At 42.0% G+C, this 16470-nt stretch overlaps 1 long non-coding RNA gene across 1 annotated transcript in view, besides 1 other annotated feature; it reads right to left on the bottom strand.

Annotated features, from left to right (window-relative positions):
- Window positions 1–10042, bottom strand: part of LOC107984559 (uncharacterized) — a 32511-nt gene extending 22469 nt beyond the window's left edge. Inside the window, exon 1 of the long non-coding RNA XR_001749987.2 lies at window positions 9981–10042. This is a non-coding gene — a long non-coding RNA (uncharacterized LOC107984559). The remainder of the gene's footprint in view (window positions 1–9980) is intronic.
- Window positions 790–1512: an enhancer, noted in NCBI's record as "OCT4-NANOG-H3K27ac hESC enhancer chr13:49447591-49448313 (GRCh37/hg19 assembly coordinates)". NCBI's record gives its function as "activates a minimal SCP1, AML or CMV promoter by ChIP-STARR-seq in primed H9 embryonic stem cells {active_cell/tissue: H9 hESC(primed)}" and the evidence as "EXISTENCE:reporter gene assay evidence [ECO:0000049][PMID:30033119]".
- Window positions 10043–16470: the final 6428 nt, after the last annotated feature.

Genomic DNA, 16470 nt, shown 5'->3' with positions numbered 1-16470 from the left:
CATGGAGTCAAATTTATGCTTTTTAGTGTAGTTTCATGCCTTTTGAAAAAAAAATGGCAGTCTAGTAACCACCCCCACAATCAAGTTCTAGAACATTTCTATCACCCCCCTGCAAAGTTCTCTTGGGTTGTCTTCCCTCCACCTTCAGTCCCTAGCAACAGTGAATCTCTTTTCTGTCCCCATAGTTTTGCCTTTTCCAGCCCTTACTACTTATACAAATAAAACGCTTCCTCCTCAAAAAATGACCCCAAACTTTATTTAGCTTGGTTTAAAATCTGGTTAACCATTTCCCTTGGGGAGGGGATGGTCTTTTCAGACATGTTTTTAGATTCAGCCACTAGCCAAGCACCTGATAATTTAGAAGCCAGACTGGAGCTGGGAAATTGGGAAGAGAATCAGCTGGATGGGGAAGAAGCTGGCATTGCAGTGGGTGGGGCAGGAGTATACCTAGCATTCATCGCTATGCAAGCCCCCAAGGTGGGCAAGCCACAAAATACCTTAAACCTGGGCTCCTGTCTGCCCACTCCTTCAACAAACAAACAACAACAAACACTCAGGCCAGAGGGAAACTGTGAACTCCTTGAGGACTGTTTCCCTTTTCTGGTCTCTGTCTTCCCCTCGCCTCACTCAGTGTCATCAGCTCTGGGTGTGGAGGATAAAGGGCACTAGAGATAAGAATTACTGCCACATTTCTGGCCTCAGTTACTGAGTAAGTGACGGTGCCAGTAATAAGAGAGAACAGGGAAGGGAAATAATATAATTTGAGCTTCTACCATATACCAGGCATATAGTATTTCATTTTGTCCTCTTAATAATCGGATGAGCCTCTGAGCCAGGGACCCAGAAGTCCTGTTCTCCAGCTTCCTCTAGTCCCTCATCAGTCACAACTGTCAGAATTACCCTTTAACACCCTCCTAAAACTTTCCCTTTCTTTCCTTCTCACTGCTCTGTCTTAATTAACTCATTGCTCCTGCTTAGAATGTTCACAGTTGTCTATTAGGATTCTCTCCACCTCCAGTCTGGTCTTAATTTATCCCCCTTGTGGCTACCAAAGTTATGTTTCTCAAATGCAAATCCAATCATATAAGTCCCCTGCTTAAGTTCTCTGTGACTCACTTGTAGCCTCAGGATAAATTCTGGCTCTGGGTAAGCGAGGTCCTGCATTATCCCTGATCAGATGCAAGCTCCTCTCCCAAACTCCTCTGTTGTGCTCTGAAACCTGTTGGTGGTCTCAGGTGACCATGCTAATTCTTGCTAATGCTCCTCTCTCCTCCACTCCTAGCCATGCCCTGGGCTACTTAAGTCATTCTTATTCTAGATAAAGCTCTACTATTACTGTCTGTGAGAAGTCTCTCCACCTCACCGAATACATTCTTGACTCCTCCTTTTCTTGTTCCTCACTATATCCTGACAAGCTTCTGTCACAGCCCCTACCAGGGTTTACTGCCTTTGAGTGCTTACATCTCTGGTTGGTAAGGACTCTTTCCCTTGCCTTCCCGAAATGTAATTATTAGTAAATGACAAAGTCCCATTTAAAATTCTTATTTCCCACAAAATGGCTAACTCAAAGAGTTGAAATTTGAACCTAAAAAACTGGCTGATGCTCAAGCTTATTCCATTTTTACTGCATAAACTCTAGAGGACATTTGAGAAGAAAGATGATTTTATTTAGGGATGTGTTGTGTTTGAGATTCCTGTGGTCATTGAGGTGACTGTGTGTAGTAGGCAATTGTAAAGAAGAGTACAGAGCTCAGGAAGAAGTTTTAGCTTGGATTTTCAGTAAATAAGTGTTTGATAGGCTCTAATCATGGTTACTTTTGGAAGCTCTTCCATACATCATATAAAAATATACTGAAATATGTTATATACAATATATCAGATAATCATACACGAGTCAAGCTGACATTTGATATGAATTGTAGGCAGTTGATTAAACATCTATTAATTTCATTTTGCAGTTTTCCTCTTTCTCTTCTCTCTCCTTTCCTCCTTCCTTGCTTTTGTCTTTCTTTTCCTCCTTCCTTTCTTTCTTTTCTTAAATATTTTCTTTTACTTTGAAAAGATACTGTGCCTTTAGTACTTATTGGGTAAAACAACCCCACATGTAGGTGGCAGTTGAAGCTCTGGCAGCAGAGAAACAAGGGGTGATGAGATGGGGGAGGATTAAGTCCCCCTGTAATCTACATCACCACTTAACAAGCTGCTCCAAACATAGAGAATGTAAGTAGAAGAAGTTAGCCTACTCAGCAAACTCAGCATCAAGACAAATCACCTATCTCTTCCTGTATGAAAATTCTGGAGTCCCTGCTGGCATTGGATAAGTGATATTCCTTTGTCAAATGAAAAAAAGGCTGAGAAAACCCAACAAGCACCAACATTTGAAGTGTCAGGCAGAGGAACAGGAGTCCAGGGAATGGACCAGAAGTCCAGCCCAGGGATAGAGGTACACGATATAGTAAAGGGTAAAGGGTTTCTAGAAAGGAAAGCAGTCAATAGTCAGAGGGGTTTGTCAGGCCTCTGAGCCCAAGCTAAGCCATCATATCCCCTGTGACCTGCACATGTACATCCAGATGGCCTGAAACAACTAAAGATCCACAAAAGAAGTGAAAATAGCCTTAACTGATGACATTCCACCATTGTGATTTGTTTCTGCCCCACCCTAACTGATCAATGTACTTTGTAATCTCCCCCACCCTTAAGAAGATTCTTTGTAATTCTCCCCACCCTTGAGAATGTACTTTGTGAGATCCACCCCCTGTGCACAAAACATTGCTCCTAACTCCACCGCCTACCCAAAACCTGTAAGAACTAATGATAATCCCATCACCCTTTGCTGACTCCTTTTTTAGACTCAGCCTGCCTGCACCCAGGTGAAATAAACAGCCTTGTTGCTCACATAAAGCCTGTTTTGTTGTCTCTTCACACAGATGTGTGAGACATTTGGTGCCAAAGACCCGGGTCAGAGGGACTCCTTTGGGAGACCAGTCCCCTGTCCTCACCCTCACTCTGTGAAGAGATCCACCTATGACCTCGGGTCCTCAGACCTAACAGCCCAAGGAACATCTCACCAATTTCAAATCACGTAAGCGGTCTTTTCACTCTCTTCTCCAGCCTCTCTTGCTACCCTTCAATCTCCCTGTCCTTCCAATTCCAGTTCTTTTTCCTCTCTAGTAGAGACAAAGGAAACACATTTTATCCATGGACCCAAAACTCTGGTGCCAGTCACGGACTTGGGAAGACAGCCTTCCCTTGGTGTTTAATCATTGTGGGGATGCGTGTCTGATTATTCACCCACATTCGATTGGTGTCTGATCTCCACGGGGATGCCTGCCTTGGTCATTCACCCATGTTCCCTTGGTGGCAAGTCAATTGCAGGGATGCCTGCTTTGGCTGCTCACCCACATTGCAGTCCAGGGCTGCTCCCCACCCCCCTTCTCTGTGTCTCTACCCTTCTCTTTAAACTTGCCTCCTTCACTATGGGCAAACTTCCACCCTCCATTCCTCCTTCTTCTCCCTTAGCCTGTGTTCTCAAGAACTTAAAACCTCTTCAACTCACACCTGCCCTAAAATTTAAATGCCTTATTTTCTTCTGCAATACCGCTTGGCCCCAATACCAACTTGACAGTAGTTCCAAGTGACAAGAGAATGGCACTGTCTTTCTCTCCTGTCTGTTCCTTCAGTCTTCACCCCAAGCTCTGAGTCCTTGAATCCTTTTCTACAGACTCATCTGACATCTCCCCTTCACCCCAGGCTGCTCCTCGCCAGGCCGAGCCAGGTCTCAATTCTTCCTCAGCCTCTGCTCCCCGACCCTATAATCTTTCTATCACCTCCCCTCCTCACACCTGGTCTGGCTTACAGTTTCGTTCCATGACTAGCCCTCCCCCACCTGCCCAACAATTTCCGCTTAAAGAGGTGGCTGGAGCTAAAGGCATAGTCAAAGTTAATGCTGCTTTTTTCTTTATCCGACCTCTCCCCAGTCAGCTAGCATTTAGGCTCTTTTTCATCAAATATAAAAACCCAGCCCAGTTTATGGCCTGTTTGGCAACAGCCCTTAGACGCTTTACTGTCCTAGACCCAGAGAGGCCAGAAGGCCAGATTATTCTCAATATGCATTTTATTACCCAATCCACTCCCGATATTAGAAAAAGCTCCAAAAATTAGTTTCTGGCCCTCAAACCCTACAACAGGACCTAATTCACCTCACCTTCAAGGTGTACAATAATAGAGTAGAGGCAGCCAAGTAGCAACGTATTTCTGAGTTGCAATTCCTTGCCTCCTCTGTGAGACAAACCCCAGCCACATCTCCAGCACACAAGAACTCCAAACACCTGAACCGCAGCAGCCAGGGATTCCTCCAGGACCGCCTGCCCCAGGATCTTGCTCCAAGTGCCAGAAATCTGGCCACTGGGCCAAGGAATGCCTGCAGCCCAGGATTCCTCTTAAGCCATGTCCCATCTGTGTGGCACCCCACTGGAAATCAGACTGTTCATCTCACCTGGCAGCCACTCCCAGGGTCCCTGGAACTCTGGCCCAAGCCTCTCTGACTGACTCCTTCCCAGATCTTCTCGTCTTAGCGGCTGAGGACTGATGCAGCCCAATTGCCTTGGAAGCCCCCTAGACCATCACGGACACTGAGCTTCGGGTAACTCTCACAGGGGAGGGTAAGTCCATCCCCTTCTTAATCAATATAGAGGCTACTCCACATTACCTTCTTTTCAAGGACCTGTTTCCCTTGCCTCCATAACTGTTGTGGGTACTGATGGCCAGGCTTCCAGACCCCTTAAAACTCCCCAAATGATGCCAACTTGGACAATATTCTTTTATGCACTCCTTTTTAGTTATCCCCACCTGCCTATCTCCCTTATAAGGTCTAGACATTTTAACTAAATTATCTGCTTCCCTGACTATCCTGGGCTACAGCCATACCTCATTGCCACCTTTTCCCCCAGTTCAAAGCCTCCTTCACATCCTCTCCTTGTATCTCCCCACCTTAATCCACAAGTATAGGACACCTCTACTCCCTCCTTGGTGATGGATGATGCACCCCTTACCATCCCATTAAAACCTAATCACCCTTACCCCAGTCAGTGCCAATATCCCATCCCACAGCATGCTTTAAAAGGATTAAAGCCTGTTATCACTTGCCTGTTACAGCATGGCCTTTTAAAGCCTGTAAACTCTCCTTACAATTCCCCCATTTTACCTGTCCAAAAACCGGACAAGTCTTACAGGCTAGTTCAGGATCTGTGCTTTATCAACCAAATTGTCTTGCCTATCCACCCTGTGGTGCCAAAGCCATATACTCTTCCATCCTCAATACCTTCCCTCCACAACCCTCCATAACCCATAATTCTGTTCTGGATCTCAAACATGCTTTCTTTACTATTCCTTTGCACCTTTTATCCCAGCCTCTCTTCGCTTTCACTTGGACTGGCCCTGACACCCATCAAGCTCAGCAAATTACCTGGGCTGTACTGCCACAAGACTTTGCGGACAGCCCCCATTACTTCAGTCAAGCCCAAATTTCTTCCTCATCTGTTACCTATCTCGGCATAATTCTTCATGAAAACACACATGCTCTCCCCGCTGATCGTGTCTGGCTAATCTCCCAAACCCCAACCTCTTCTACAAAACAACAACTCCTTTCCTTCCTAAGCATGGTTAGGTACTTCTGCCTTTGGATACCTAGTTTTACCATCCTGACTAGTCCATTGTATAAACTCACAAAAGCAAACCTAATTGACCCCATAGATCCTAAATCCTTTTGCCACTCCTCTTTCCATTCCTTAAAAACAGCCCTAGAAGCTGCCCCCACACTAGTTCTCCCTAACTCATCCTAACCATTTTCATTACGCATAGCTGAAGTGCAGGGCTATGCACTCGGAATTCTTACACAAAGACCGGGACTGCGCCCTGTAGCCTTTCTGTCCAAACAACTTGACCTTAATGTTTTAGCATAGCCCTTGTGTCTCCGTGTAGCACCTGCTGCTGCCCTAATAGTTTTAGAGGCCCCCCAAATCACAAACTGTGCTCAACTCACTCTCTACAGTTCTCATAACTTCCAAAATCTATTTTCTTACTCACACCTGACACATATAATTTCTGCTTCCCGGCTCCTTCAGCTGTATTCACTCTTTGTTGAGTCTCCCACAGTTACCATTGTTCCTTCCCTGGACTTCAATCCGTACTCCCACATTATTCCTGATACCACACCTGACCCCCATGACTGTATCTCTCTGATACACCTGACATTCACTCCATTTCCCCATATTTCCTTCTTTCCTGTTCCTCACCGTGATCACACTTGGATTATTGACGGCAGTTCTACCAGGCCTAATCGCCACTCATAAGTAAAGGCAGGCTATGCTATAGTACCTTCCACATCTATCATTGAGGCTACTGCTCTGTCCCCCCTCTACTACCTCTCAGCAAGCCAAACTCATTGCCTTAACTCGAGCCCTCACTCTTGCAAAGGAATTGCATGTCAATATTTATGCTGACTGTAAATATGCCTTCCATATCCTGCACCAGCATGATGTTATATGGGCTGAAAGAGGTTTCCTCACTGTGCAAGGGTCCTCCTCCATCATTAATGCCTCTTTAATAAAAACTCTTCTCAAGGCCACTTTACTTCCAAAGGAAGCTGGAGTCATACACTACAAGGGCCATCAAAAGGCATCAGCTCCCATCGCTTAGGGCAATGCTTATGCTGATAAAGTAGCTAAAAAAGCAGCTAGCATTCCAACTTCTATCCCTCATGGCAGTTTTTCTCCTTCTCATCTGGTCACTCCCACCTACTCCCCAACTGAACACAAGGCAAATGGTTCATGGACCAAGGAAAATATCTCCTTCCAGTCTCACAGGCCCATTCTAATTCTGTCGCCATTTCATAACCTCTTCCATGTAGGTTACAAGCTGCTAGCCCACCTCTTACAACCTCTCATTTCCTTTCCATCGTGGAAATCTATCCTCAAGGAAATCACTTCTCAGTGTTCCATCTGCTATTCTACCACTCCTCAGGGATTATTCAGGCCTCCTCCCTTCCCTACACATCAAGCTCAGGGATTTGCCCCTGCCCAGGACTGGCAAATTGACTTTACTCACATGCCTAGAGTCAGGAAACTAAAATATCTCTTGGTCTGGGTAGATACTTTCACTGGGTGGGTAAAGGCCTTTCCCACAGGGTCTGAGAAGGCCACTGCAGTCATTTCTTCCCTTCTGTCAGACATAATTCCTCGGTTTGGCCTTCCCACCTCTATATAACCTGATAACGGACCAGCCTTTACCAGTCAAATCACCCAAGAAGTTTGTCAGGCTCTTGGTATTCAGTGAAACCTTCATACCCCTTACTGTCCTCAATCTTCAGGAAACATAGAACGGACTAATGGTCTTTTAAAAACAAACCTCACCAAGCTCAGCCTCCAACCTAAAAAAGAGGACTCTGTCAAGGATAGAGCTCAAAAACTCACCAACCAAGCAAGTAATTACGCGGAACCCCTTTGGGCACTCTCTACTTGGATGTCCTGGGTCCTCCCAATTCTTAGTCCTTTAATACCCATTTTTCTCCTTCTTTTATTCAGACCTTGTGTATTCCATTTAGTTTCTCAATTCATACAAAACTGTATCCAGGCCATCACCAATCATTCTATAAGACCAATGTTTCTCTAACAACCCCACAATATCACCCCTTACCCCAAAATCTTTCTTCAGTTGAATCTCTCCCACTGCAGGTTCCCACACTGCCCCTAATTCCGCTTGAAGCAGCCCTGAGAAACATCACTCGTTATCTCTCCATACCACCCCCAAAATTTTTTGCTGCTCCAACACTTCACTATTTTGTTTTGCTTTTCTTATTAATATAAGAAGATAAGAATGTCAGGCCTCTGAGCCCAAGCTAAGCCATCATATCCCCTGTGACCTGCACATATACATCCAGATGGCCTGAAGCAACTGAAGATCCACAAAAGAAGTGAAAATAGCCTTAACTGATGATATTTCACTATTGTGATTTGTTTCTGCCCCACCCTAACTGATCAATGTACTTTGTAATCTCCCCCACCTTTAAGAAGGTTCTTTGTAATTCTCCTCACCCTTGAGAATGTACTTTGTGAGATCCACCCCCTGCCCACAAAACATTGCTCCTAACTCCACCGCCTATCCCAAAACCTGTAAGAACTAACGATAATCCCACCACCCTTTGCTAAACAGCCCTGTTGCTCACACAAAGCCTGTTTGGTGGTCTCTTCGCACAGACACTTGAGAAAGGGTTCAGTAAAAAAAGAAAAAACAAAAAAAACAAAAAACAGTCCCTGGAAATAGGCAATTCCAGAGCCACTGGTGCGCAGAAGCTGGGCTATCTCGTGCCAACAAACGAAAGGGAACCACAGGAGCAGAGCAAATGTGGGCAATGTTTTGAAGACAACAGACTATAAAGAGAAGGAAGCAGAGCTATAGAGCATAGTTAGACGCAACTGAAGATTGCTTACTGCCCTAGTCTGTTCACACTGCTCTAATAGGATACCATTGGCTTGTAAAACAACAGACGCTTATCTCTCACAGTCCCGCAGGCTAGGAAGTCCAAGATTAGGGTGGCTGCAGATTTGGTGTCTGGTGAAGGCTCACTTCCTGGTTCATACATGGCCACTTTTTGCTGTGTTCTCACATGGTTGAGGGGGCAAGGGAATCTCTCTGGGCTCTCTTTTGTAAAGGCACTAATTCCATTCATGAAGGCATCACCCTAATTACCTCCCTAAAGCCACACCTCCAAGTACCATCAAATTAGGATTAGATTTCAACATATGAATTTTGAGGGATGCAAACAGCCTGTTGCTCTTAGTTTTGCAACAGGGAAGCCAAAAGATGCTAAAAGAGGCTGAGAGGAAGGATGAGTGGAAAACATGGATCATTGTCCATATTCCTAACTAAAGCCAATCCCTTCCCCAACCTTTTTTTTTTTTTTTTTTTTAAGACGGGGTTTCTCTTCCCTCTCATTTGATCCCATCACTTCTTTCTGCTCAAGGCCACTGCTTCAGAATTCTCTTTTCTCTTGACTTAACCGTTTTTTTTCCCTTTTGCATCAGCATGCAAACCCACTAAGATTTCTTTCATTTTAAAAACAAAAAGTCTTGAACTCCCATTTCACTCTCAAGCCATTGTCTGTTTCTCCCCTTCCATTCTCAGCAAAACACCTCAAAAGAAGTTTCTTTATTAGTTGTCTCCAAGTTTTCATCTTTCTTCTTCTTCTGAATTAACTTCCATGAGCAGTGGTGGAGTGTAGGAATGTGCCCACCATTCTATTGTAACTTCCCTGTCAAAGTCATCAAAGACTTTCTGATGGCTAAATTCAATGGTCAATGAAAAGTCCTCATTTTCCATGACCCATCTGTGGCATTTGACCCATCAGTCCCTTCTCATGACATATTCTCTTCCCTTGGCCTCTAGGACATCACATTTGCCTAGTTTTTCTACTTCTTTGGCTGCTCCTTCTCCTCTTTTGCAGGTTCCTCTCCACGTCCACAACCTCTAAAAATTGGACTGTGCCAGAGACCAGTTCATCCTCTTGCCTTTTTAACTCTATATTTCCTCCCATGGTGGTTTTTCCCTAGTGTCATGACTTTAAATACCAGGCTGAACCTCTCCCCAAAACTATAGACTATATATCCACTGCCTATTTTAACATCTCACTTGGATGTCTAGTTAGCATTTAAAATTGAGCTCCTGATATTCTACCCCTGTGCCTAATCCTTCCAAAATCTTCCCCATCCCAGGAAACAGCAGCTCCATTTTTCCTGTTGCTCAGGCCCAAAGCCTCTGAGTTATCCTTCACTCTTATTTTATTCTCATACCTTACATCTGATTTTTTAGCAAATACTATTGGCCCCAACTTCAAAATATGTTCAGAATCTGATCACTTCATACCACGTCCACTGCTAACTCCCTAATGACTAAGGCCTCGTTCAGGCCACTTTCTTCTTTCTTACCCGGATTTGTTGCATCAGCCTCCTAAAAGGACTCTCTGCTTCCATCCTTGTGCCCTCCAGTTTGTTCTCAATGCAGCGGCTGAACGATCCTATTAAAATGTAATTCAGATCATATCACTCCTCTGCTCAAAATACGCCAGTAGTTTCCCATCTCACTCAGAGCAAAAGCCAATTGCCATGACCTTTAAGATCTCAGTGACTTCATTTTACTGGCTTCCTTGGTGACCCTCTCTTTCATGCACATTCTGTCCCAGGGATATCAGACCTCAGGGCCATTGCACTTGTGTCTCCTGCCTGGAATGCATGCTCCTTCACCTCCTTCAAGTTTTTGTTTAAATATCACCTTCTTATAGAAGATTTCCCTGACCACCCTATTTAAAATTTCAGCATTCTCCCCTTGACCCCTAATTATCTCTTGACTGCTTTATCTTTTCTCTTAGGGCAAGGATTTTTGTCTGTTTTGTCCATCCCCAGTGTCTAGGATATGCTTAGCAATGAGGATGCTGAATGAATGAGATTAGTAATATTGGAAGGCAGAGGGATCATTGATGGATCAAAGTTCAGAGGAGGGTGGAATCCAGGGAACATGAGCAAGGACAGATGCAAAAACTACTAAATTCTTGTTTTAAGAGTCTGAGTAGAGGAGGGAGTTGAGAAAGTTTCTGATACCATCATTTGCACATTGACTGAATCAAATCAATACCAGTGTGTCACCTTTCCTATACATTTACATTTTTAAGCCTTTTTATCTCTAATTGTGTTGGGGAAAATCTTTGTCCCTGTGTTAAAAGAATTGCATGCACTGTCAAGAAGCTCAGTGGAGATTTATTCAGAAAGCCCAGAAAGCCTTCTTGTTGGCCTTGAAATCATCTTACACCTGAGGCACACCTGATTTACTCTTGAACACATATCATTTCTGAAGCATCAAACAGATATTATTGTTGTTGTTGTTAGTATTATTATAATTACTACTGGCATGCCTGGCTGTGAGGCTGGATTAGAAGCACTGGTCTCATTGAATCCTCTTCCATCCCTTAGATTCAATACTTCATATCCTAAGGATCCAGAGCCAAAATTGTTGAGTCCTTTTTCCTCCCTGAGTGTACCTTTATCCCCCTTCAACATGAGAATCCTGCTGAGAATCCCAATAAATAATTCCAAACCCCAATCACAGATTCTCCTTGGCCTTGGGTCTTTAACACTTAAACCAAGGGAAGGGAGCAATTACATAACTGCTCAAGGACAAGTACAGGGAAGAAGGGTGGCAAAGATGGAAGAAGAGAGGATCAGGAAGAGGGCTGGATGCCTTGGGGTATAGGCAGGAACACAGGAAGTTTGGCTGTACTTCGGACAAGTGCACTTACTGGTCTCAATGGTGTTACTGATTCCATGGTGAAAAGGTCAGGACTGCATTGCTGCATATCGATCCTGAATTCTGGAAAATACGCAAAATAGTAGGAGGAAGAAATCAAACTTTGACTTGGTTATGTGGAAACATTTATGAAGGCACTACATCTTATTCATGGTACTCTTTAATAGTCAATATATTGTGGTTTAACTGTTTATTTGAATGTCTCTCTCTTCATTCATTAGACTGAAAACTCCTCAAGGTCAGGGACTTTTTCTTACTATCCCTGAAGCCTGACACATTATGTTTATGGAATGAAAAAATGAATAATTTGTAGCAATTTCTGTATATTACTCACCAATTATGGCTTATTACCATACTGTACATGAGTAATTATGTAAATTATTAGATTTTGGAAGATCTGGTATGCTCTTTCCTTATGGCAAACATGAATTTTGTAAGTGGTCATGTTTCTCTTTCAGCTTTGGTTTCCAGGAGACTCAGGGCCAATTTCTGAACAAATTTTAGTAACTGTGTAGGTCCCTATTGCTTCCACATGTGTACCAATCTTCCTCAATCATATATATATATATATACACACACACACACACACACACACATACACATATATTTATATAGTTTATAATAATATATGTTTTTGAATATATATTCAAATATTACAAATATTTTCTAGAACAGGATTAGATATAAATATACTAATGTTTCAAATACTATTTGTCAGATTAATTTTGTTTGAAGTTTTATATAAGTGTAGCCATGACCCTTTATAGGAACTAAGTACATGTGAGCCACACATGACAGTTGGTTTCATTATTTTGTGGTCATCTTTCATATACTCGAGTCTGCATGGCTTTCGCAACTTGAAAATAAACAGGAAACATTTGGAGGAAACCAAAAAGAAGTAAGCCTGTGTCTGCCATGGATAAGGTCAATTCAAGAAGTTCCAGGGGCTTTTAGACGCCATTCTGAATTCATCAATAGGTTACTGGATATTTAGCAGGTTTCTGCAGTGTCTGACTTGCTTTGTCACATAAGTGACACAAGGTAAATATTCTGGACAACTTCATGCTTCAGTTTGTTTGAATACAGGGGTGACAAACAAGAATAATCTAGATGTGTGAAGTAATGGTGGTAGAATAAAACAAGAGATATTAATAGGCATCCAGGATGAGGTTAGAGAGGATTGAGATAATGCAACAACAAAGTTCTCATGTTTTCATTGTATTTTATTGATGCACCATAGGGATCTAAATTAAAGGACTTTTTAATGGACCTGGTTTGGAGTCCGCTGATACGGTTTGGCTCTGTGTCCCTACCCAAATCTCATCTCAGATTGTAATCCCCACGTGTCAACGGAGGGAGGTGGGGGCAGTTTCCCCCATGCTGTTCTTGTGATAGTTTTCACGAGATCTGATGTTTTATAAGGCAGTTTTTCCTGCTTTTGCTCACTTCTCTCTCCTGCCACCTTGTGAAGAAGGTGCCTGCTTCCCCTTCACCTTCTGCCATGATTATAAGTTTCCTGAGGCCTCCCCAACCACATGGAACTGTGAGTCAATTAAATAGCTTTCCTTTACAAATTACCCAGTCTCAGGGAAGCTCTTTATAGCAGTGCGAAAACTGACTAATACATCTACTCTAGTAGCTTTTGATGCCAAGTAGATTTTGGCCTCGAGGAGTATCCATTTCAGAGAAGAGAATTCTTAGGGTAAGAAGAGGTGCCCTTGAAGAGGTCATTCAGATAACTTAGGCTCCACAAAGCTTTCTATGGATGTCACTGGGACACCCTGTGATTGCTATTGTTTATCTAAAATCTGCCCAGTGGACCTAAGCAGATTGTATACCTATAATAAATAAGTGTTCTTTGATGTGGCCATCCTAATAAAATCCCTTGAAAACATCCCAGATAGGATTTTTATGTAACTGACAATTTATTACTCCATGCTGCTTCTTTTATGAAAAATAAATTTATCTAAACATCTCCTATGTATAAGCAATTATAGTTTCTATATTTCAGTTTTGAACACTTGGATTTTAACCTGTAAAGATGGAACCCAGAACAATGGTCTAAAATCCATAATTGCATAAAATAGAGACGTATTAAAGACTAATCTCATTTTCCTTACTTCTTGTGACCCGTATTTTATTTCTAATAGCCTCTCTTATTTAGATGTGCTGAAAATATTCTACAGCATGTAGCTGTAAGACCCAAGTATCATTTGTGCTGGTTGTGGGTGGCTGTGCATTGCTTCGTACTTATGTGTAAGCTGTATTGTTAATGTAAGGAGGATATGGGGTCAAACACACACATTTAATGTTGGATTTGGATCTTGGGAGTCTTCACAAAAATTGAAATATGAAATTTAATCTTTTAGTATTCTACAAAGAAAAAACAATATTGTTTCTAGTAAAAATACAGCCTGAATAAAATTTGAAACCTCAGCTCCCCACCATAAAGTTTCCTCCCTCCATTAAAACATGGTTTCTGATCAAAAGAAATAAACTTTGAGAAGTCAATTTAGCTCTAAAGATATCCTGTGGTTTCTTCTTATATTGTATACATGTTGAAGAAGGGCACTTATTGAAAGGTATTAGACCTAAAATAACAAAAGAAAAATGGAAGATAATTTATTATCTCTGATATTATCTTTAGCTCTTCTTTCCAAAAGAGTTGGAGAAAGAAGCAGTACCTCTGTATCACACAGAAAACCAAATAGGTGAGTTAGCTGCACCTACTTGCTACATTAAAGTAGCCCTAAAGTCCAGGTTTCCCTGGGGCAATTCCCAAGTGAGTGCGTATTCCAGAGAATATACTAGGATTCCAGAGACTCTTCAGATAAAATAACCTGGGGATGTCCTTCTAATGGCTTTGGCCACATGAGATTCAGAAACAAGAGAATGAGAAGCCACCTTTTATCCCATTTTCCTAGTGGCTAAGTGAAGCCTTAATTATTTCTTATTTCTAGCTCTGTGCATAGCACTAGCATTGAAGTGGTAGCTTCACTTTGCAGTTTGCCCTCTCACTCCCTGAAGCTAGGGCCCTAGACTTGGTACCTCCCCCTAAATAAATGTTTGAGATTGAGGAGTTAATGTATCAAGGAAATTGACTTTCCAGTGAAAAGGCAGGGATATCTCCTTACAAATGAATTTGCATTTCCTTTCTTCTCCCTGGTGCTTACCCCGCCCCATCATTAACTGTTTAGAAATATGTTTAATTTATTTTAAGAAACTAATACAGTTATATGCCACTAACAATGACTTCTCTTTTTAGACTTGAGAAATGCTTGTGTCCCACATTTTAAAGAAAAATCAGTGTCAATTCTCAATTATTCTGGGAATAACGATTTAGTGCAGCGGTTCTCTGCCTTCTCAGGCCCAAAGCCTCCCTTTATGTAACACATATTTTGAGATACCCCTTTACCATTCTAAAATGAAATTTGCAGGTAATATAACCTAACTAGCCACATAATCACACAAAAAATATAAAATATAAATTGCAATATAAAATAGAAATTTAAAAAATGTAACTGAAAATAATGTTTCAATAGGTAAATGACAAAACTGAAGATAAATTCTACAACTTTCCAAAATATTTCACAGGGAGTGGAACTAATCTGGATGAGAACCCACTTAGCACCCTGCCTTCTCCAGTGTTAGGTGGTGCAGTAAGTGAGTTTAGAAGTAAGCTCTTTGTGAATTAGGGCAAGTTACTTCTCTTTTCTGAGCCTTAGCTTCCTCATATTTAAAGAGGACATGGTTTCACAGGGATGCAATTTGTATAAATGGAATATTATCACTAAAGCACCTAGTACAATGTCTAGTTCATAGTAGGGTTTCAGTGAATGCTAATTCTCAACATTTTCTCTATGAGAGAAGTCAAAGTTACTGTGAGTCTAAGGCTTATTTGTCCCCTTTGCAAGGTTTACCCAGTTAGGCGTAGTGTCTTTCTACCAGGGGAAATGAGAAGTGGGAGTAATTCAGAGACTGAGCTGTTAAAGAAATGACTGCTCTTTATTGCTTTCTTCCTCCTCCCCCTTCCCAAGCAGATAAAATAAATAGGGTCAAATTTCCATTTCTTCTCCTAGGCTGAGTCTTTTCATGCTAGTGACCTTGTAGTTATTCTGACTACCTGTCACTAGAGAAAAGGGCACTTTGCAAGCTGTTGTTAGGTGTGTTGAGAATGAGATTGTGATTTGGAAAAGCAAGAGCTTGTGCCGGGCAATGTTTATCAGGGACAATGGTTTATGAGGGCTGGGGAGGTGATGGGCAGAAAGGTGACGCATTTGTAGAGGTAGGTGGAGCTTAGGGGGAAGGACAGAGTGGTAAATTGTCCTTCATTCTATGCTAATCGTGAAGTGGAAACCAAGCAGATTTTTCTTTTTTCTTTTCCCCGCCCCCTCCTGTCCTGATTTTTCTTTTTAATCTCTAAAAAGAATTTACCAGTTTTTCTTTTAAACTGGTAACCTCCAAATAAAATCCTCTAACATTTTTTGGAGGAGATAAATGCAGCTTTCTTAAGAAAGCAACTCAACCTATATACTAAGTTTGTAGTTTGGGAAAATAATTTTTATTTTTATTGCATTGGGAGGAAATTTTAAAGGTACATTTTTTTTTCCTGTTCACTTAGAGATTCTCATGAACAATGATGGGTTAGCCATCGTGTTTTCATGTTTTAGAAAGCACAGCAGAATGAAGTACTTATTCTGCATAGCAAAATATGCTCCTTTAAAAATTATCTACAGCAGCAAAATGTCATCTTTTATTTTATACCCTCATAAACAACCTCAATTGGATGAAAAGCCCATGTGGAAGTACAGGCCTCCCTGGTTACTGCCTTTCCCAGGTTTCCCTTCCCTGCTTGATTCTCCTTTTTGATAAGAGATCAGGTAACCATGACAACACTGCACGGTGGAAGTCCTTTCATTTTTGTGCTTTACATAATCCTGAAAATAAGTCTGCTATCTGTTTGACACTTGCTTCCCTTCCTTACAAACTTTTTTCTTTAATCTTAGCACAGTATATCCTGAAAGAAACTTGCCACTTCAGAGGATTTGCTGCCACCGATGTCACTTCCTATTAGTAGTGAGTTGACTTTGCATTCTCTGAGGCTCAGATTCCCACCAT

This window comes from Homo sapiens, chromosome 13, assembly GCF_000001405.40.
Source record: "Homo sapiens chromosome 13, GRCh38.p14 Primary Assembly".
In the NCBI taxonomy this organism is placed as follows: domain Eukaryota; kingdom Metazoa; phylum Chordata; class Mammalia; order Primates; family Hominidae; genus Homo; species Homo sapiens.
This window is presented reverse-complemented; position numbering and strand designations above follow the sequence as displayed.